Source organism: Homo sapiens, chromosome 5, assembly GCF_000001405.40.
Source record: "Homo sapiens chromosome 5, GRCh38.p14 Primary Assembly".
NCBI lineage: Eukaryota > Metazoa > Chordata > Mammalia > Primates > Hominidae > Homo > Homo sapiens.
The window spans coordinates 37,460,613-37,484,036 of NC_000005.10; the positions used below are offsets into that span (position 1 = coordinate 37,460,613).

A 23,424-nucleotide genomic window follows, 5' to 3' on the forward strand; every position below is an offset into this window, starting at 1 on the left:
CACACCAGCATGGCACATGTATACATATGTAACTAACCTGCACAATGTGCACATGTACCCTAAAACTTAGAGTATAATAAAAAAAAACATTAAAAATAAAAAATAAAAAATAAAAACAAAAAGAAAACAGCAGGTTGAGTTGCATAGGAAGTTTTTGTTTGGGTTTCACTAAGAAAAATTCTCAGTTTGAAGACATGATATCTGAAGCTATTGTGTTATGTGCATAAAGGTTCTTGAACTTGGTGTTATAGTTTCTCAGTGTATGATGTTTTAAAAACTAAATATGAGATTAAGCTCACCTTTTCCTCTTTTAACATTTTTTGACTTGCGTTTCATCTTGTTTCATATTAAGGTTGCCATATTTGCTTCTTTTTTGATATAATTTTTTCATTTTTCAACTTTGGGTGTTTGTTTTTATTTTGCTCAGGATGCATGTGTGTGTGCATATCTATTGTTTATTTTTTGTAAATGGCAAATAAATATTTCTAACCTCAAAAAAAAAAAAAAAAAAAATAAAGGGTTGTGAAACAAACCCCAGAATAATGAAGAAGAATATGATACAGAGATCATATATGGCTTGGAAAGCTTCAAATATTTATCTGGTCCTTCACATAAAGTTTGCTGACCCTACTGTAAAAGCTCTTCACAACCGCTTATTATTTTGCTCTTCTTATTTACGCTCTCTGCCTGGTGAGACACAGGCTGAAAAGATTCTTCTTGTATCTCCTTACCTTCTTAACCTCACTGCTTGTGGCCAGTGGAATGTGTCTGTGATCTTAGGAAGTTTGAGGGAGCTGGGGCTGAGAGTAATCCTTGTGTGTGTGTTGGGGAGTCTCTCCTCTATGTGATGGATGCTATAGTTTTGTTGTTGTAAACTGTGCAACAGAGTGAGACAGAGTCTCACTCTGTTGCCCAGGCTGGAGTGCAGTGGCGCCATCTCCGCTCACTGCAAGCTCTGCCTCCTGGGTTCACGCCGTTCTCCTGCCTCAGCCACCTGAGGAGCTGGGACTACAGGTGCCCACCACCACACCCGGCTAATTTTTTGTATTTTTAGTAGAGATGGGGTTTCACAGTGTTAGCCAGGATGGTCTTGATCTTCTGACCTCATGATCTGCCTGCCTCGGCCTCCCAAAGTGCTGGGATTACAGGCGTGAGCCACTGCTCCCGGCCTGTATGCTGTATTTTTAGGAAAGATAGTAGGTTTTTGACTATATATCTTTGTTTTATTAACCCTATATTGTCTCTTCCACATTGTTTTTTGTGCCTGCTGCCTAATTTTTGTGACAGCTGCTTCCATAAGGGCATCCTTGCTGCTTTGAGAACGAACCACCCATGGACTTCATGGTTTCTGGGTAGTTTCATATGAGGCTGTTGCACTCTTTCTGGGAGGTGCTTTCCTAATCATTCTGATCTTTTCCTACTAGAAATTTCTGGATAATTTCCAGTTTTCAGTAGTCCTTTCATTTATCCTGATTTAATATTTTTCTAGGTTATTTCTTTTGGCATTTGGAGTAGGGAAGTCTGATGAAGTCCTCAGCTCTTTTTCCTTAGAAGTCTTATATATTTCCTATTTCCAAATTCTTAAGGATTTCTTATTTATATTCTTTTTTTGCACCCTCTGGAGAATCAACCTTATATTGACAAAATATATTTTTACATTTTTGGGTGACATTTGCAAGTCCTTAATTAATTAATTAATTAATTTTTTGAGACAGAGTCTCGCTCATTCGCCCAGGCTGTAGTGCGGTGGCGTGATCCTGGCTCACTGCAAGCTCCACCTCCCGGATTCATGCCATTCTCCTGCCTTAGCCTCCTGAGTAGCTGGGACTACAGGCGCCTGCCATGACGCCTGGCTAATTTTTTGTATTTTCAGTAGAGACGGGGTTTCACCGTGTTAGTTAGGATGGTCTCGATCGCCTGACCTTGTGATCCGCCCGCCTCGGCCTCCCAAAGTGTTAGGATTACAGGCGTGAGCCACCGCACCCGGCCCAAGTCCTTAATTTGTAAGTCTTGAGTATTTTGGTTAGCAATAATTAAGACATGTACTAAACATATACTAACTTGTAGTGCATTTGAAATAACATTGCATTTGGCTACCAAGATTTTATACCCCTCAAATAATCTTAGCATTGGAAATAAAGTAGTAATAATAATAATTACTTGTTTCAGTTACTGTACTAGGTGTCTTTATGTATATTATTTTTAATCCTCACCCAATTTTATAAAAAGTATTATTTCTCATGTTTTTTTCAGTGGAGGAAACCAGGACTCAGCAAAGTTATATTAACTAGTACGTCAACTCTGTGGGTTCAGGAGCATCTCTGTATAGTGTTGCCATCTAGTCTTGTCTCCTCATTTTCCATGAAATAAGGAGACTAAGGCCAGGCGTGGTGGCTCATGCGTATAATCCCAGCACTTTGGGAGGCCAAGGTGGGCGGAACACGAGGTCAGGAGTTTGAGACCAGCCTGACCAACATGGCGAAACCCCGTCTCTACTAAAAATACAAAAATTAGCCCAGCATGGTGGCACGCACCTGTAATCCCAGCTACTTAGGAGGCTGAAGCAGGAGAATTGCTGGAACCCAGGAGGTGGTGGTTGCAGTGAGCTGAGATCGTGCCACTGCACTCCAGTCTGGGTGACAGAGTGAGATTCTGTATCGAAAAAAAAAAAAAGACTGAGTCTAGTGAAGCCAGTAGACTTGCTCATCATCACGCAGCTAGTTAGCAGCAGAATGAGGACTTGGATCCCTGAACTCCTGACTCACATTCCAGTGCACTTTTCACTACAGCAGGACACCTTGGCTCCTGAGCCCCAAGTGACAGCCCCAAACAGCTGTGTTTATCTGTCTTGCATGTCCCAGCTTGTTTTGCTAGCTGAGCAAAAACTACTTAAAAGGATCCTCAATCTTCACCTTCCCATTCCCTTCCACTTCTACTCATATACTCCACTTGCCCCATGAATAACTTCACAGAAACAATTGTGCAATGTCACTAAGCCTTCCTCTGGTGTCAAGAGTTACTCCGTGAGAGAGCATTCACTTCCTCATGACTCCGGTTTACTGGTTAGATTGGCTTTCTCTCTCTTCTCTTTGATCGGAATCTTCGTTGTTTAGGCAGGAATTTGAGGAGCAGATGTTATGCCCCTTGAACAGCCCCTTTAATTCTCCTTAGTACTGTGTCTAATGACTCTTAATCCTGTCCTTTTAACTCTGTGGCTAGCAGACTTAAGAGTGAAGTGAGACAGGAATGATGAGCTTGATGCTGAACATTTCATTTTAATGTTGGCAAAGTAGTCTACAGAGAGTACATGACAAACAGTGAGACAGAGGGAAAATGTTAAAAGTGTTCCTATATAGCAGAAAAACAATGTGAATATTAGTGTGGGATCACTGAAATTTTGGGTTTCCCACCAAATGTAGATAGAACAGTTTGGTTATTAGTTTGCCAGAGAAATGGAGCCATTGACTGTTTCTACTTTGTCTTCTTAAACTTTTATATTTTTTAGATTTTCATTTCTGTTTTAAAATAAAAATAAATCATCAGAAGAAACAAAGTGATCTCTTATTTTTCATGGTTACTGGAGAAAATTACACTTCCCCCAAATGGGAGTAGCATTAACAAGCATATATCCTGTGAACTGATTCATTCCATTCTTTCTTTAGAGACTTTGGTTTAGCGCTCTGAACTTTCTGATTATCAGATCTTATGTGTTTGCTAATATATAAAATAACAAATTAGACATAATGCCCTATAATTTTCTCAGTTTGATTAATTGCCTGAAATTTGATCTATCAGTCAGTGTTTGATTAGAATAGAGAAATCACATGTAATTTGAACAAGGAAAGATCAGTACGAAGAATTGCTAGCTATAATAGGGTTTTGGAGCAATGAGGATTGGCTAGTAAAAAGTAAAGAGAACTCTAAGGAATATAAGAATAACAGATAAAAGGAGCATCAACCCCTGGGGTTGAGATACAACATCCAGGGCCTCTGAGATTAAGATCCAGACCCTGTTTGAGGGGGCATGGCTGTGGCTCATTGAATGAAGAGAAGTTGCTGTGGTAGAAATCTGTCTCATCAGAATCACTCTGCTATAATACTGCCTTGTGGAGGTACTGATGGAAGATACTGGGTGCTGCTGACTGCTGTGCACTTCAGGAGCCTGACAGTGGAGCAAACTGCACGGGTGCTGGATCTGGACACTGGAGAAGCTGTGTTGCAGTACAGAAGCCTGCCAAGAGGAGCACACAAGACTCTTGGAAAGAAGAGGAAAATCTCCTCTTACAATGTCGATCTAACATCATGCCAGCTAGCAAAGGAAAAATGTTTAAAGGGTCCAAGTTCATTTCTGCAGAGTAGACAGGAAAGGATGAATTCGGAGCTGAGAGACAGTAAGTGGACAACTGGCACATTTGGTCAAACTTGTAATTTTATATCTTAGATGGACAAATTTAAACACAAGTCCATAGGTGTTTTCCTTACAAGCTTACATTTAAATTTGGGATCCTGGTCAGAATTTTGCTAAGGACTTCATTCTTTCCCAGTGTTTCAGGAAGGATACCATGGGGCCAGAGCCACTTTTCTTTATTGTAAGGTCCTGGGCTGTGGCCCCTTTTGCTTTTCTGGGCTCCTTTCTCATGGGCATCTGTTTTGGGAGTTTCATTTCCTCATCTGCTTTGACACTTTAATCTTGGACATTGTAGTGAAATGCTTCACATTGTCACACATTCTAATCTCAGAGACCACTCCAAATCTTTTTGAATTTTCTTGGCCATTGAAATTAGTACTCTGGAATCAGTACATTAAGAATGGTTTTTTAAAAACTATCAGCTAGAATTTCAACATTTTAGAAGAAATGGGTCAGTATAAATTTGGAGGAGCAGTTTCTAGCTAGTAGTAGCTGTGCAGAAAAACAGTTTTATTGATAAGTATCTGATTTGGATTTAGGAACCAGCTAGGACGAAAAATTCTATTGAGGTCTGGCCAGATAGACATAGATTTTATTTTTCCTTTATATTCTGTGTCCAAAAGACAAATTGTCATGAGTTTTTTTTTTTTTTTTTTTCTGAAGTATCCATTTGTTTCTCAGCTTTGGAATTAGAGGTGTAGAAAATAAATGGGACTCAACAGCCTAAGATTTTGTTTAAAAAGATGTTCTTATTTATTTATATTAAAAAAATTTCTAAACTTTTTTTTTTTTTGCAAGAAACTGTATGTCAGCATTTTCATTTTTGATAGATAAATTTTATATTTGGGATTTTGATTATTAAGTTGTTTCTCCACCAGAATTCCTTATGGATTTTTGTAATAATCTCTATTTAATGTGTTTAATTATTTGCTTTCCATTTATATTTATTTTGGGATTTCTTTTTTAAGAGAATGGCACCTGTGACAGCATACTGTTAATATTACCCTTGTATCGTACTTTACCATGCCATCTCTGAAGAATATTACAGACCATTTTGGAGCATGGTGAATAACGAATTTTTACCTTAGGAGTTCACTTGAGTAGTCATTTTTATATTTGTGACTGCAAGTCACTTTTAGGGGCTGTACTTCCTTAGTACTGGTAGCATTATTATCCAATGGACTTTTATAGCTTTCATTAGGTTTTCTTTTGTTTCTGTTCTTTAAAGAACATTTTACTTAACTTAGTATTTCATTTTTCATCTATATTATGAGGCAGTAAGAGTCTTCTGTTTTTCCAAAGTTGAGACTGCTTTATATTTATTTCATATTGTCTACAGCTGTAGTGTTCAATACATTAGCCACTAGCCACATGTGGTTATTTAAATAAGATAAAATAAAAATTGGCTGGGCGTGGTGGCTCACACCTGTAATCCCAGCACTTTGGGAGGCCGAGGCGGGCAGATCATGAGGTCAGGAGATCGAGACCATCCTTACTAAGATGGTGAAACCCCATCTCTATTAAAAATACAAAAAATTAGCCGGGCATGGTGGCGGGCGCCTGTAGTCCCAGCTACTCAGGAGGCTGAGGCAGGAGAATGGCGTGAACCTGGGAGGCAGAGTTTGCAGTAAGCCGAGATGGCGCCACTGCACTCCAGCCTGGGCGACAGAGCGAGACTCCATCTCAAAAAAAAAAAAAAAAAAAAAAAAAAAAAAATTTAAGTTCTTTAGTTGCACTAGCCGTATTTCAAATACTTGATGGATACATGTGGCTAGTGGCTAACATAATGGATAGCACAGATATAAAACATTTCCTCGTCATGTAAAGTTCTGTTGGATAGTGCTGATCTGTAGCTTATAGGATGGTATCTTAGTCTGCTTCAGCTGCTAAAACAGAATACCATAAATTGGGTAGCTTAAACAGTAGATATTTTGACCAGGCGTGGTGGCTTGTGCCTGTATTCCTAACACTTTGGGAGGCCGAGGCAAGTGGATCACTTGAGCTCAGGAGTTTGAAACTAGCCTGGGCAGCATGGCAAAACCTTGTCTCTACAAAAATTAGCTGGGCATGGTGGTGCACGCCTGTAGTCTGAGCTACTTGGGAGGTTGAGGTGGGAGAATTGCTTGAACCTGGGAGGCGGAGGTTGCAGTGAGCCATGATCGCACCACTGTACTCCAGCCTGGACGACAGAATGAGACTCTGTCTCAAAAAAAAAAAAACAAAAAAAGAAAAAACAAGAGATATTTCTCACAGTTCTGGAGGCTGGAAGTGCAAGATCAAAGTGTTGGCAAATTATGTTTCTTAAAGAGGGCCTGCTTCCTAGATTGGAAATGGCCATCTTCTCTCAGTATCCTCACATGGTAGGGAGAAAAGCAGCTCTAGTGTCTCTTCTTATAAAGGAAGTAATGCCACCATAGGGGCTCTATTCTCATGACCTCATCTAAACCTAATTCTCTCCTAAAGGCCACACCTCCCAATATCCTCACTTTGGGGGTTAGGGCTTTATCATATGAATTTTTTTTTTTTTTTTTTTTGAGACAGAGTCTTGCTCTGTCACCCAGGCTGGAGTGCAGTGGCACAATCTTGGCTCACTACAAGCTCTGCCTCCTGGGTTCACACCATTCTCCTGCGTCAGCCTCCTCAGTAGCTGGGACTAAGGTGCCCGCCACTGCGCCCGGCTAATTTTTTATTTTATTTTATTTTATTTTATTTTTTTTAGAGATGGAGTCTCTTTCTCCCAGGCCGGACTGCAGTGGCGCTATCTCGGCTCACTGCAAGCTCCGCCTCCCGGGTTTACGTCATTCCTGCCTCAGCCTCCCGAGTAGCTGGGATTACAGGCGCCCGCCACCGCGCCCAGCTAATTTTTTGTATTTTTAGTAGAGATGGGGTTTCACCGTGTTAGCCAAGATGGTCTCGATCTCCTGACCTCGTGATCTGCCCGCCTCGGCCTCCCAAAGTGCTGGGATTACAGGAGTGAGCCACCGCGCCTGGCCTAATTTTTTGTATTTTTAGTAGAGACGGGGTTTTACCATGTTAACCAGGATGGTGTCGATCTCCTGACCTTGTGATTCACCCGCCTCGGCCTCCCAAAGTGGTAGGATTACAGGCATGAGCCACTGCGCCCGGCCTATCATATGAATTTTGAGGGAACACAAACATGCAGTCTGTAGCAGATGGTAATAGGCTGATATATTGCACTTGTTGATGTAAATCTGATAGGTTTCTTTCTCTCCAAGGACAGATTTTTAAATATTTAACAATACCAATAATGTTTCAGGTTCTGTGAGAATTTTATAATTTATAATTTCCAAACTTAAAATAATCTATAATCTATTTTGTCCTAACAATTACAAATATATTTTTTATTTCAGATTATATATATTCCTACCACATGGAGATAATTACAGCTTTAAAAAATTTTATTTATTTTTTCATTTTATTTCACATATTGACATTAAATTTTTATTGACACATAATAATTGTACATATATATGGGGTACAATGTGATGTTTTAATACATGTACTCAATGTGTAATGATCAAATCAGGATAATTTGCATAATTTTTTTTTGTAGGGAAAAATTCAAAATCTACTCTTCTGGCTATTTTCAAATATATAATACATTATTGTTAACTATATTCATCCTACTATGCAATAGGACACCAGAACTTATTCCTGGGTTCTACATCTGTTTATTAAGCCATCCAAGGATTGGAAATATTGGAAAAAAAATTGCATCTGTACTGAACATGTACACTTTTTTCTTGTCCTTATTCCTTACACAATATAGTACAATAACTATCTGCATGACATTTACATTGGATATTGAGTGATCTAGAGTTGATATGAAGTATATGGGAGGATGTGCAAAGGTGATGTGCAAATACTGTGTCATTTTATATCAGGGACTTGAGTATCCTTTGTTATCCTCAGGAGATCCTGGAACTAGTCCCCCATGGATACTGAGGGCTGACTGTATAGTCCTATCCTCACAGAACTTTGATTCTAATGAGGGAAGACTGACTATAAACAAAATATATATAATAGGTGGTGGTAAGTACCGTGGAGAAGTAACAAATGGGGCAAAGTGAGTTATACAGCTCCATTCTTAGAAACCTTGGAGTAATTTTCTTAGTTTATACTCGTGGTGGTTTCCTTTTGTCTCCTTTATTACATGGGACTCTGACATGTGCCCATAGCTAGGGTGGCAGTAGGATCTACCCGATAGTAGGGTGGCAGTAGGATCTACCCGAAAAGCATCCTGCTGATACAGGACCAAAGGATCCTCTTGTTCTCGAGCCTATAAAAAGAGCTAATGGTCTTGCTTCTCTTAACTGTGGCCTCCTACACTGTGTTTTGGACGATTGGTGATGTCTTGGATATTCTGTTTCTTTGGAACTTTGAATATACAACACTTTACTAGGGAATTAGCAATGGAAGCAGAGCAAAAATGTACAGAGGAAACAGAATGCATAACTCTGATGGAATTGAAGTCATGAGGCAGCAGAAAGCTTAAACAGGCAGAGTGGGAGGGTTAGAGGGAATTTAATTGGGAGTAACAGAAGTAATAGTTAATGGAGCCAGAATGCTTGAGTCATGTAATTGCAAAGCAGAGTTGGGAGCAGCAGATGCTAAAGAGTAGTTGCTGTAGTTACTCTTTGCGTTGTAGGAGCAGTTGTCATATTACTATATAGCTACTGAATGAAGAAGAGTTCTTAGTGAGGCCTGGGTGAACAGCTCTTCTTAGTATTCTGTGTGACCCCATTTGACCTTTTAACAAATCTCTAAGTAAATAAATAGCCCCTAAGGTAAACTAAGTTTTTCTCTGCTATTTTTTTGCTTGAGAGAGCTATAACTGTAATAGACTTATATTTCTGAACATTTTAGTGCTTGCCAATATTTGGTAATATTTATGTTTCCTATATTTGTAACGAACATTCTTCTTCCTTTACATTTTTTGTTAAATTATTGTTTCATACATAAAAGTTCACCTTTTATTGTATAAAATTGCCTCAGATTAATTTATACACATTGGCAATGGGTAAATAGAATTTTTCACATTATTAAAAACTGAAGGATGCCCATGTAAGCAAAAAACAAAAACAAAAACAAAAACAAAAAAAAACGCACAAAAATAAACCCAAACCCCTCAAACAATTTCAACCACAAAACATTTTACATATACTTACTAGTTTATTCTGAGAATTTTCTAGCCTTCAAGGATTAAATTACACTGTAAAGTGTGGTAGTGTACCCATTTGATGTCTTTACTGGTGAATTAAGGGCCTTAATATAAAATTGCTTCAGATGTCTCTAATTTTTATAATGTTTAAATTAAAATATAATATTTAGAAAATTACAATACTACTAAGGCTGTAGCTTGAGGACTAATCATAAAATGAATACATCCCTGTAATTACTACCCAGATAGAAGAAGTAGAGTGTTACCAGCACCAGAAACTTGTTTACCAGATATTACCCACAACCTTCTCATCCTGACTACTTGCACCATAGATTACTTTTGCCTATATTTGAATATTACTTAAATGGGTAAATACAGCATATATTGTTTTTGTCTGGCTTCTTTCACTTGATTATATTTATAAAATATATCCATATGGTTTATAGCAGAAATTTGTACATTTCAATTGCTGTACAGTGTGCTACTGTATGAATATATATCTACTTAGCTATTTTCTGCCTGTGGACATTTGACTTATTTCTGGTTTGGGGCTATTATGAGTAGTTTTTCTGTGAACATTCTTGTAGATGTCATTTGGAACATATATTTGCTTTTCTGTTGGGTATATACTTGGTAGTGGAATTGCTAGGTCATTGATTATGCATACATTCTGCATTAGCAAGTACTTCTTTTTTTTTTTTTTGAGACCGAGTCTCACTCTGTTGCCCAGGCTGGAGTGCAGTGGCACAATCTCAGCTCACTTCAACCTCTGTCTCCTGGGTTCAATTCTTTTGCCTCAGCCTTCTGAGTAGCTGGGACTACAGGCATGAGCCACCACGCATGGCTAATTTTTGCATTTTTAGGTTTTAGGGTTTTGCCATGTTGGCCAGGATAGTCTCAAACGCGTGAACTCAAGTGATTCACCCGCCTTGGCCTCCCAAAGTGCTGGGATTACAGGTGTGAGCCACTGCACCAGCCCATTAGCAGGTATTTCTAATAGATTTTGAAAATCATTGTACCAATCTACCCTCCTACCCATAGTCCACAAAAGTTACCTTACATCTTTGCCAACACTTTGTGTTGTCAACCTTTTAAATTTTAGTCATTTTGGTGGATATATAGTAGTATTTCATTGTGGCTTTATTTTGAATTTTTGTGATGCATGATGAGATTAGACAACTTCTCATAACATTATTGGATATTTGGATATCCTTTCTCAAATGGTTAAATCTTTTGGCCATTTTTCCGGTGGTTGCCTTTTTTTTTTAAATACCATTTAATAGATTTTAAAAATATGGTGGATCTAGGGACTTTCGTTGGTTAAATAGGAGGCACATATTCACTCGCAATTTTTGGCTTGTTTTGTCACTGTTTGTGATGTCTTTTGGTGAATAGAAGTTACTAATTTTGATGAAGGTAACATTTGCATTCTTTTTTTTATGGTTAGAATTTTTTTGTTTTCTGTTTAAGAAAATTTTTCTTTAACCCCGTGTTGTCAATTTTATCTTCCAGAAGTTTAGATATATTACTTTTAAAAGTTAATAATTAATGCCTACACTGTACCTGGAATTGATTTTTATGTGTGTTGTAAAATAAGGACAAAGATTTATTATTTACAATGTCAAATTGACTCCGCATCATTCATTGAAAAGACTGCTTTCATCACTTTTGTCATAAATCAGGTGGTCTTTTTCTTGTCATATTGCATGGTCAAGGACCTCTATCGTATGTTGAATAGAAGTGTTGAAAATAGGCTTTCTTTTCTTGCTCCTAATGTCAGAGGGAAGGTTTTTAACATGTCAGCATTAAGGAAGATATTTGTTATAGTTTTTTTTTAATGATACCCTTTATCAAATTAAGAACTTTCCCTTTACTTCCTAATTTGCCAGGAGGTTTTATGAAATTATTAGTGAATATCCCAAGTTTAAATACAAATTTTGTTAAAGTACAATTTGTATGCAAGATTTTGCCATTCTTAAAGCCTTGACTTGAATGCTTTGATATTTGCATACACTTGCATAAGTATCACTGAAAACAAATATACCCATCTCCTCAGAAAGTTCTCTTGATTCTTTTTCATTCTATGTCCCTCCTTCCCATAGAGGCAAGTACTTTTAAATTTTTATTGCCATAATATTTTCCTATTTTTTTGACTTTATGTAATTGGGATTATATAATATATAGTATGTTTCTTTTTTGTTTTACTCAATAAAATGTTTATGACATTTATCCATGTATTTCATTGCATGAATATACCAAATGTACAAATTATATATACAACGTGTAAAGTGTACAATTGATTGATTACTTGAGATGGAGTCTTGTTCTGTTGCCCAGGCTGGAGTGCAGTGGCACGATCTTGGCTCACTGCAACCTCTGCCTCCCGGGTTCAAGAAATTCTCTTGCCTCAGCCTCCCTAGTAGCTGGGATTTAACAGACACCCGCCTCCATGCCCTGTTAATTTTTTTGTACTTTTAGTAGAGATGGGGTTTTGCCATTTTGGCCAGGTTGATCTCAAACTCCTGGCCTCAAGTGATCTGCCCACCTCGGCCTCCCACAGTGCTGGGATTACAGGCATGAGCCACTGTGCCTGGCCAAGTGTACAATTTAGATTATTGTTTTCAGCTTTTGGACGTAATGAATAAAGCTGCTTTGAACGTTTTTGTATGAGCCTTTTTGTGTGCTATGAACATACCTAAGAATAGAACTGCTGAGTCGTAGGATAGGTACATGTTTACCTTTATATGAAACTGCCAAACAGTTCTCCAACATATTTTTTTATCTTACACTTTACCAGTTGTGTATGAGAATTCTAATTGCTCCACATTCTTGACCATATTTGATATGGTCAGTATCTTTGATTTAACCATTTTAGTGGGTGGGTATAAAATGATACCTTGTGTTTTTTTGTTTTTGCATTTCATAAATGATTAATGATGTGAAGCACCTTTTAATGTTTTTATAGAGCACTTGAATATATTTTGTTAAGTATCTATCTTTTTACTTTTAGTGGGTTGTTGGTCTTTTTATTCTTTTTTTTTTTAAATCAGTGTATTTTAGGAGATACACGTACACACACAGCAATAATCCTTTGCATTACAAATATTTTCTCCTACTCTGTAGCTTGGTGTATTCATATTCTTTTTTTTTTTTTTTTTGAGACTGAGTTTCGCTCTTGTTGCCCAAGCTGGAGTGCAATGGCATGATCTCGGCTCACTGTAACCTCTGCCTCCTGGGTTCAAGCGATTCTCCTGCCTCAGCCTCCTGAGTAGCTGGATTACAGGTGTGTGCCATCACGCTCAGCTAATTTCTTGTATTTTTAGTAGAAACAGGGTTTCACCATGTTAGCCAGGCTGGTCTCGAGCTCCTGAGCTCAGGTGATCTGCCCGCCTCTGCCTCCCAACGTGCTGGGATTACAGGCTTGAGCCACCGCGCCTGGCCTTACATTCTTAATGTTGTCTTTTGATATGTTTTATCAGATACCTGAATTACTTTTCTTCCTTTATGCTGGATTTTTAGAAAGTCACATGAATTGACTTGAATATTAAACCTGTCTTGCCTTCCTGGAGTACATTTTACATGATTGTGATATCTTTTCCTTTTATATATATATTGCTGGATTCCATCTGCTATATTTTGTTTGGAACATTTTGTATCTGTGTTCATGAGAGATAGATATAGTTTGCTGTTTCCAGCTTTTGGAAACATATGTTTAGATCATTGATTAAAACAGTTTTTTTGTAATATATGCATTTAACTCCATAAATTTTCTACTAAATACTAAATTTTCTACTTTAGCTATATGTCACAAGTTCTAATTCATTATATTTTCATTATCATTCAGTTAACATTTTCTAATTTGTATTGTGTTTTTTTCTTTGATCTAAGGATTACTTATAGGTATCTTGCTTTATTTTCAAACATTCAGTGGTTTTCAGATTATTTTTGAGAATTTATTTGTAACAGTTCCACTAGGATTAGAGAACATATGCTATATGATTTTAGGTTTTTGACATTTATTGAGACTTGATTTACAGATTTGCATATGTCAATTTTTTAAACATTATTTGTATACTTGACTGCATTTTTTGTTGTGGATCCAACATAGGTAAATTAGTTTATTAATTTTGTGGTTCTAATCTTCTCTATCCTTATTGCTCTTCAAAAATTGGCTGGTAGGATCAGTTACTGGAAAAGAGATGTTGAAATCTCCGAGTGTGATTGTAGATTTGCCTGTTTCTCCTTTTAGTTTTGTAATTTTTTGCTTTATGTATTTGGAGGAATGTCACTAGGCATGAGCACACTTAGAATTATTGTATCTGCCTGGTAGATTTCCCCATTTGTTATTATTCTTTTTTTTAATCTTCAGCTTTTATTTTAAGTTCCAGGGCTACATGTGCAGGATGTGCAGGTTTGTTACATAGGTAAACGTGTGCCATAGTGGTTTGCTGCACCGATTAACCCATCACCTAGGTATTAAGCCCAGCATCCATTAGCTATTCTTCCACATGCTCTCCCCCTGCCACCCAGGCCCCAATGTGTGTTGTTCCCCTAGGTGTGTTGTTCCCCCACATGTGTCCATGTGTTCCCATCATTCAGCTCCCACTTATAAGTGAGAACATGCAGCATTTGGTTTTCTGTTTCTGCATTAGTTTGCTGAGGATAATGGTGAAATTTCCTTTTTATCTCCAGTAATGTTCCTTTATTTTATTATTTTTATTATTTTTATTTTTTGGGACAGAGTCTTGCTCTATTGCCCAGGCTGGAGTGCAGTGGCATGATCTCAGCTCACCGCAATCTGCACCTCTCAGATTCCAGTGATTTTCACGCCTGAGCCTCCCGAGTAGCTGGGATTACAAGCGTGCGCTACCACGCCTGGCTAATTTTTTGTATTTTTAGTAGAGATGGGGTTTCGCTATATTGGCCAGGCTGGTCTTGAACTCCTGGCCTCAAGTGATCCACCTGCCTTGGCCTCCCAAAATGCTGGGATTATAGGTGTGAGCCACGGTACCCATCCTTGTTCCTTGATTTTTTGTTTTGTTTTGTTTTTTAAATGGAGTTTCGCTTTTGTTGCCCAGGCTGGAGTGCAATGGCGCAATCTGGCTCACCACAACCTCCACCTCCCAGGTTCAAGCAATTCTCCTGCCTCAGCCTCCCAAGTAGCTGGGATTACAGGCATGCACCACCATGCCCAGCTAATTTTTTTTGTATTTTTAGTAGAGACGGGGTTTCTCCATGTTGGTCAGGCTGGTCTTGAACTCCCTATCTCAGGTGATCCAGCTGCCTTGGCCTCCCAAAGTGCTGGAATTATGGGCGTGAGCCACCACGCCTGGCCCTCATTCCTTGATTTTCAAGGCCACTCTGCCTGATATTCGTAAGATATACCAGCTTTATTTTAGTAAGTCTTTGTGAAATATGTTTTTACATTCTTTTAATTCACACTCTCCATATAAATAAATTGTCTTTTTTATGCAGAAGTTTTCTATCCATCCTGTCAAACTTTGTCTTTTAATTATAACCTTTAAGTTAGTTATATTTAATTACTTATAAATTTGGATGTAAACCATCCATCTTATTCACTGTTTTTATTTGTCCATTCTGTTTTATTTCCTCTTTACTGTCTTGTCTTTTGCATTACATATTTTTTTTTTTTTTTTTTGGAGATGGCATTTTGCTCTTGTTGCCCAGGCTGGAGTGCAATGGCGTGATCTCGGCTCACTGCAACCTCCACCTCCCGGGTTCAAGCAATTCTCCTGCCTCAGCCTCCTGAGTAGCTGGAATTAAAGGCATGCACCACCATGCCCAGCTATGTTTTTTTTTGCATTTTTAGTATAGATGGGGTGTCTGCATGTTTGTCAGGCTGGTCTCAAATTCCCAATCTCAGGTGATCCACCCACCTCAGCCTCCCAAAGTGCTGGGATTATAGCATGAGCCACCGTGCCTGATCTGCATTAATTTTTAATACTATGTTTTCTCTTCTCTGTTAGCTTTTTAGTTTATTGTCTTTTACTATTCTTTTAGTCGTTAGTCTAAAGATTACAACTTAACAAAGTCTATTATAAATTAGTACTTTTACTACTTCCCAGTCAATACAAAGACTTTGGATCATTAACTACATGTAACTGCATTTACTCCCTCCTGCCATTTTGCAGCTGTTTTCACGTATAGTTGTCCCCTTGTTATAGGCAAGAATCCCTGTCTATATTCAAATTTGTGCATACTCAAGTCCTGCAGTTGGTCCTGAGAAATCCACCTATGGGAAAAGCCAGCCTTTTGTGTATGCAAGTTTTGCATCCTGTGAATACTATTGTGAATACTATCTACAATGTTTTATTGTTTCTTTTTTCTTCTTCTTTTTTTTTTTCTGAGACGGAGTCTCGCTCTGTCACCTAGGCTGGAGTGCAGTGGAGCAATCTTGACTCACTGCAACTTCCGCCTCCTGAGATCAAGCAGTTCTCCTGCCTCAGCCTCCCAAGTAGCTGGGACTACAGGTGCATGTCACCACACCTGGCTAATTTTTTGTATTTTTAGTAGAGACGGGGTTTCACCATGTTAGCCAGGATGGTCTCGATCTCAACCTCGTGATCCACCTGCCTTGGCCTCCCAAACTGTGGCGTGAGCCACTGTGCCTGGCCTTTTCTTCTTTTTTTAAGAGATTGGGTCTTGCTCTGTCACATAGGCTGGAGTGTAGTGACGCGATCATAGCTCATTGCATAGCTGGGATTATGAGTACGAGCCACTGTCCCTGGCAGAATACTGTATTTTTTATCTGCATGTGGTTGAGAAAAATCAGTGTAAAAGTGGACCCGTGCAGTTCAAACCTTTGTTGTTCAAGTGTCCTCTGTACTTTTACATATTGGTATATGCATTTTAAACCATTCAGGTGGTATTGTTATTTTATGCAGTCAGTATTCATAACTTATTCATTCATTTACTTGTATATTCTCCCTTTCTGTTATTCTTCATGCCATACTCTGTGCTTTTATTAGGGATCATTTTCTTTCTACCTGGAGAATTCTGTGTAGTATCTCTTTTAAAGCAAGTCAACTGTTGACAAATTCTGTTAGTTTTAGTTTTTCTGAAAACATCTTTATTTTGCCTTTAAGTGATTCTGTAATTCTAGCTACTCACTTATTTCTTGACCTCTCTATTTAAAATATTTATCCCTGTCCTGTTACCTTCCTAGCTTTATTTCCCCCACATACTTATTACCGTTTTTTCATATAATATATTTTACTTATTTATTAGCTTAGTATTGATTTTGGGAGGAAGGGCTCACCATAGTTGGCAGGTTGGATCTTCAGCAGCAACAACAGTTAGGTCAAGTTAAGAGTTGCTGTTGGGCTCATCTACAACTTCTATTCATGCCACCATGACTATTTCATTTACAAGCCTATTGTGTTAACAGTCACAGCCAAACTGGCCAAGTCACTTTGCATGGTTATTCATTGCCTCTTTTGAGGTTGATGCTTTCTGGGATTAACTTGTGACACAAAAAGCTTCATACTTGTCCCCTTTCATATGTCTATCTACATGAGACAAGGAGATATTCTCCTCATCTCCTTGTCTCAATCTCCTGTTCTTTTATAGGGTTTCTCTCTTATTTTCTGGAAAGGTTGTATCTTACCAGTGTATGTGCTACTTCTTGCTCACCTGATTGAGTTAATGTGATATTTAGACCAGGGATCAACATGAATTTCTTTGGATTGCCCATATCCCCTGGGACTCTAAAGGCTGGAAAATTAATAATAGCCTTGATTCAGGCATTTAAATGTATGCTATTGTTAGTTGGATGTGACTGTCAGCTGCTTTCAGTCCTCCTTAATAGGGGCAGAAAAACATGCTTCATGAGATCAATGACTGCATACCACTTATCTGATCAAGACCAATAACCCAGTCTTTATATGCTGCCAAAGAGACTATCTGGCTTTCACGCTATAGTCTTTAATTGGTGATTTGTCACTCTCAGCCTTTTGTTGTTTTTCTCCGTTGCATCGACTGCTCTTAGCAACAGCTATCGAATTCCTAGTCCTTTTAATTACTTCTCTGTACTTCACAAATGCCTGAAATATTGCACCTGCCATGGCTTCTCTTTCACCAACAAAAGTTTCAGCAATTGTGGTTGCCCTACTGTGGCATGTTAGGGACTGTGTGCCACCAGTAATGGGTTTCTCATTGCTAGCCAGTTTGTGGTTGATACAGCATCAGATTCTCATTTGAAGTCAAAACTTCATAGGACCACTTTTGGTATCAACTCTCCCAGGTCAGGTTTCCCAAAAACACACTTTGAAATGTCTGTATTTGCATGTCAGAAGTTTATATTGGGGAGTGTTTTGGGGTCAATCCCTGTGAGAGAGGGTACAAGGGAAACAGCATTGTGAAGATGGGGAAATTGAATTGCCATGTAGTTGCCATAGCAGCAACAACTGTTCCACAGGGAGATCTGAAGCTAAAATAACCCCTCTGAGATATTTCAGGAATGGACTATTTTACTGCATATTGACCAGTCATTGAATGTGGGCTGTTTTGGGGTGGTATAATAGCATAACCTTTGGTGAGGGAGTTGCAACTCAGGGAAATTCCTGAGGGTTCAGTTATTAGCCATCAGTAGGCAAAATCCCAGAAGCTGGGAGAATGAGCACTTCACTTTTGAAGGGGGAGTTCTGGGTAGCACACCACTGTATTCACTACAGCCACAATGGCAAGATCAAGATCAGTTTTAGTGGAATGGTGAGGGTGGAAAGGTATTGTAGTGCTAAAGAACTAAAGGAGGAGATGAGGAGGCTTGAAAACTTGTTCAAACAGCTTAGCTGTGAAGGGGATGAGAGAGAGAAGATAGTAGAAGTTCCTGAGGAGACTGGGAGAGATGAGATCCAGGATATAAGTATGATTTTCCATGGACTGGAAGAGGTTCATTTCTACCATTGTAATGAAAGAGGAGGAGGAAGAAAGTTCAGGTAAAGATAAGTTTATAACAATAATGAGAGGAAGTTGAGGCAGTTCTTGTTTTCTGAGAAAGAGCCAGAAGATTTAACAGCTGAAAGAGGGAGAGTTGGTTGGGTTGGAGATATAAGGTAATTAGAGAGAGTTTTAATAGATTGCAGTGGAGAGTGGGAAGAGAGAGCTACCAGAATAGCCAGTGGTTGGTTGGTTGGTGGTGGTTGTTTTTTTTTTTTTTTTTCTGGTGACAGAGTTTTGCTCTTGTTGCCCAGGCTGGAGTGCAATGACGTGATCTTGGCTCACTGCAACTTCTGCCTCCCAGGTTCAAGCAATTCTCCTGCCTCAGCCTCCCAAGTAGCTGAGATTACAGGTGCCCATCACCATGCCTGGCTAAGTTTTTGTATTTTTATTAGAGATGGGGTTTCACCATGTTGGTCCGGCTGATTTTGAACTCCTGACCTCAGGTGATCCATCTGCCTTGGCCTCCCAAAGTATTGGGATTATAGGCATGAGCTACCTTGCCCAGCCGCTAGTGGGTATTTAGAACCCATTTGAGGTTGATGTTCCTGATTTTGTGGAATTATCAATTTGTCCATTTGTGTAACATTTTTTTTTCTGGCAATACTTAATGTAGTAAAATTATAAACATTGTGCTTAGTATCTTACCAACTTTCCTTTTCTTTTCGTACAGCCATCAGATCAAGTCATTACAGTATAGTAACACAGGAGACATGATTCTTGTTGTATCTGGAAGCTCTCAGGCCAAGGTGATTGACAGAGATGGTTTTGAAGTAATGGAATGTATAAAAGGAGACCAGTATATTGTGGACATGGCCAACACCAAGGTAAGCATTAAACAGAATATTTTAATGAATTAATTCAGCACACATTTATTAACAACTATTTGAGTTATCATGTAATAATTTTCCCCAAAAGTTAGTGTCATAAAACAATAGCAATTTATTTGTTCTCACAATCATGTGGATTGATTGGGTGGTTCTGCTTCATACAGTATCAGCTGGAGCACTAGGATCGCTGTAAGATACAAAAGGGGCCCAGATGGTTTGCAGTCAGTGTCCTGCTCCATGGCATCTCTCTGTGTCTTTGCCTCTTCCTTACTTCTACCCCACCCCTTCCCTTCTTGCTGGCTCTCTGTCTCTCTGTCTTTTTCTCTTGCCACATGTCTAGTTTGGGTCTTTTCACAGTGTGGTAGTCTTAGGTGTATTAGTCTGTTCTCATGCTGCTAATAATGACCTATTTGAGACTGGATAATTTATAAAGGAAAGAGGTTAATTGTTTCACAGTTCTGCATGGCTGGAGAGGCCTCACAATCATGGTGGAAGGCAAGGAGGTGCAAAGTCGTGTCTTACATGGCGGCAGGCAGGAGAGAGCATGTGCAGGGGAACTCCCATTTATAAAACCATCAGATCTCATGAGACTTATTCACTACCATGAGAACAGCATGGGGGAAACTGCCTCCATGATTCAATTATCTCCACCTGGCCCCGCCCTTGACACATGGGAATTGTTACAATTCAAGATGAGATTTGGGTGGGGACACAGCCAAACCATTTAATTCTGCCTCGGCCCCTCCGAAATCTCATGTCCTCACATTTCAAAACCAATCATGCCTTCCCCAAAGTCCCCCAAACTCTTATTTCAGCATTAACTCAAAATTCCATAGTCCAAAGTCTCATCTGAGACAAGGCAAGTCCCTTCCACCTATGAGCCTGTAAAATCAAAAGCAAGTTAGTTACTTTCTAGATAAACAGGGATACAGGCTTTGGGTAAATACACTTTTTTCAAATGAGAGAAATTGGCCAAAGCGAAAGAGCTACAGGCCCCATGCAAGTCCAAAACCCAGCAGGCAAATCTTAAAGCTCCAAAATGACCTCCTTTGACTCCATGTGTCACATCCAGGTGATGCAAGAAGTGGGTTCCCAGGGTCTTGGGCAGCCCCGCCCCTGTGGCTTTGCAGGGTACAGCCCCCCTTCTGGCTGCATTGAGTGTTGGCAGCTTTTCCAGGCACACAGTGCAAGCAGTCAGTGGATCTACCATTCTGGGGTCTGGAGGATGGTGGCCGTTTTCTCACAGCTCTGCTTGGCAGTACCCCAGTGGGGACTCTGTGTGGGGGCTCCAACCCCATATTTCCCTTTGACACTGCCCTACCAGAGGTTATCCATGAGGGCCCCCCCCGCTCCCTGCAGCAAACTTTTGCCTGGATTTTCAGGCATTTTCATACATCTTCTGAAATCTAGGCGGAGGTTCACGAACCTTAATTCTTGACTTCTGTGCATCTGCAGGCTTAACACCACCTAGAACCTGAAAGGTTTGGGACTTGCACCCTCTGAAGCCATGGCCTGAGGTGTATCTTGGCCCCTTTTACCTATGGCGGGAGCAGCTGGGATGTAGGGCACCAAGTTACTAGGCTGCACACAGCAGGGGGTTCTGGACCCACAAAACCATTTTTTCCTTCTAAGCCTCCAGGCCTGTGATGGGAGGGTCTGCTGTGAGGGTCTCTAACATGCCCTGGAGACATTTGCCCCATTGTCTTGGTGATTAACATTTGGCTCCTCATTACTTATGCAAATTTCTACAACCCAGTTTCCTCAGAAAATAGATTTTTCTTTTCTGTTGCATCATCAGGCTACAGATTTTCTGAACTTTTATGCTCTGCTTCTTCTCGAATGCTTTGCTGCTTAGAAATGTCTTCTGGCAGATACCTTAAATCGTCTCTGTCAAGTTCAAAGTTCCACAGATCTCTAGGGAACTCTAGAAAAAAATTCTTATTTCACTCTTTCCCGCCTATCTTATGCCCTTTTCTAATACAGGGGCACAATGCCTCCAGTGTCTTTGCATAGTAAGAGTGACTTTACTCCATTTCCCAACAAATTCCTCATCTCCATCTGAGACCACCTCTGCCTGGACCTTATTGTCCATATCACTATTAACATTTTGGTCAAAGCCATTCAACAAGTCTCTAGGAAGTTCCAAACTTTCCCACATTTTCCTATCCTCTTCTGAGCCTTCCAAACTGTTCCAGCCTCTCCCTGTTACCCAGTTCCAAAGTTGCTTCCACATTTTCGGGTATCTTTACAGCAGCACCCCACTCTACTGGTATCAACTTATTGTATTAGTCTGTTCTCACACTGCAAATAAAGACATACCTGAGACTGGGTAATTTATAAAGGAAAGAGGTTGAATTGACTCACAGTTCTGCATGGCTGGGGAGGCCTCACAATCATGGTGGAAGGCAAGGAGATGGAAAAGCATGTCTCACATAGCAGCAGGCAGGAGAGAGCATGTGCAGGGGAACTCCCATTTATAAAACCATCAGATCTCATGAGACTTATTCAGTACCATGAGAACAGTATGGGGGGAACCGTCCCCATGATTCAGTTATCTGCACCTGGCCCCACCCTTGACATGTGGGAATTATTACAATGCAAGGTGAGATTTGGGTGGGGACACATCCAAACTATATCAGTAGGTTTTGACTTCTTGCTTGATTGCTAGGTTGCATGGAGGACAAACATGGAAATTAATTAAGTACCTTAATATCTGGCTTCAGATCTTAGACAGGATCAGAGGGCCAGCTCAAATTTGCAAGGAGGGGAGGTAGATCCCACCATTATATGGGTGAATGGCAAAATCAAACAGAAATTATGTGGGATGGGAGATACTGATGCAGGCATCTTTGGAAACATTCTACTTAGCTAATTTTATGCTAGGCTTTAGGTCAAGAAGGAGAGAGAGAGCTGACATGCTGTGGTACACACTTACAGTCCCAGCTACTTGGAAGGCTGAGGCAGGAGGATTGCTTGATCCCAGGAGTTTGAGGTAGTGTGCGATGATCATGCTTGTGAATAGCCACTAGCCACTGAACTCCAGCTTGGGCAACATTGAGACACCCTGTCTCTTAATTTAAAAAAAAAAAAAAGGAAAGAAAGTGGTCTCAGTTTTTTTTTTTTTTTTTTTAATTGATCATTCTTGGGTGTTTCTCGCAGAGGGGGATTTGGCAGGGTCACAGGACAATAGTGGAGGGAAGATCAGCAGATAAACAAGTGAACAAAGGTCTCTGGTTTTCCTAGGCAGAGGACCCTGCGGCCTTCCGCAGTGTTTGTGTCCCTGGGTACTTGAGATTAGGGAGTGGTGATGACTCTTAACGAGCATGCTGCCTTCAAGCATCTGTTTAACAAAGCACATCTTGCACCGCCCTTAATCCATTTAACCCTGAGTGGACACAGCACATGTTTCAGAGAGCACAGGGTTGGGGGTAAGGTCATAGATCAATAGCATCCCAAAGCAGAAGAATTTTTCTTAGTACAGAACAAAATGAAGTCTCCCATGTCTACTTCTTTCTACACAGACACGGCAACCATCTGATTTCTCTATCTTTCCCCCACCTTTCCCCCTTTTCTATTCCACAAAACCGCCATCGTCATCATAGCCCGTTCTCAATGAGCTGTTGGGTACACCTCCCAGACAGGGTGGTGGCCGGGCAGAGGGGCTCCTCACTTCCCAGAAGGGGCGGCCAGGCAGAGGCGCCCCCCACCTCCCAGACGGGGCGGTGGCCTGGAGGAGGTGCCCCCCACCTCCCTCCCGGACGGGGCGGCTGGCCGGGCGGGGGCTGACCCCCCACCTCCCTCCCGGACGGGGCGGCTGGCCGGGCAGAGGGGCTCCTCACTTCTCAGACGGGGCGGCTGCCGGGTGGAGGGGCTCCTCACTTCTCAGACGGGGCAGCTGGGCAGAGATGCTCCTCACCTCACAGACGGGGTCGCGGCCGGGCAGAGGCGCTCCTCACATCCCAGACGGGGCGGCGGGGCAGAGGCGCTCCCCACATCTCAGACGATGGGCGGCCGGGCAGAGACGCTCCTCACTTCCTAGACGGGAT

At 40.3% G+C, this 23,424-nt stretch overlaps 1 protein-coding gene across 5 annotated transcripts in view; it reads left to right on the forward strand.

Annotated features, from left to right (window-relative positions):
- The window catches only part of WDR70 (WD repeat domain 70), a 374,118-nt gene that overhangs the window by 81,295 nt on the left and 269,399 nt on the right, over positions 1-23,424 (forward strand). For 4 of the 5 annotated variants that reach the window (NM_018034.4, NM_001345998.2, NM_001345999.2 and 1 more), the window contains one exon: positions 19,222-19,375. In NM_018034.4, coding sequence (NP_060504.1) covers positions 19,222-19,375 — 154 coding nt within the window. Of the gene's footprint in view, positions 1-12,850; positions 12,874-19,221; positions 19,376-23,424 lie in introns of those variants that run through there. The other variant, XM_011514061.3, reaches the window with a different exon arrangement.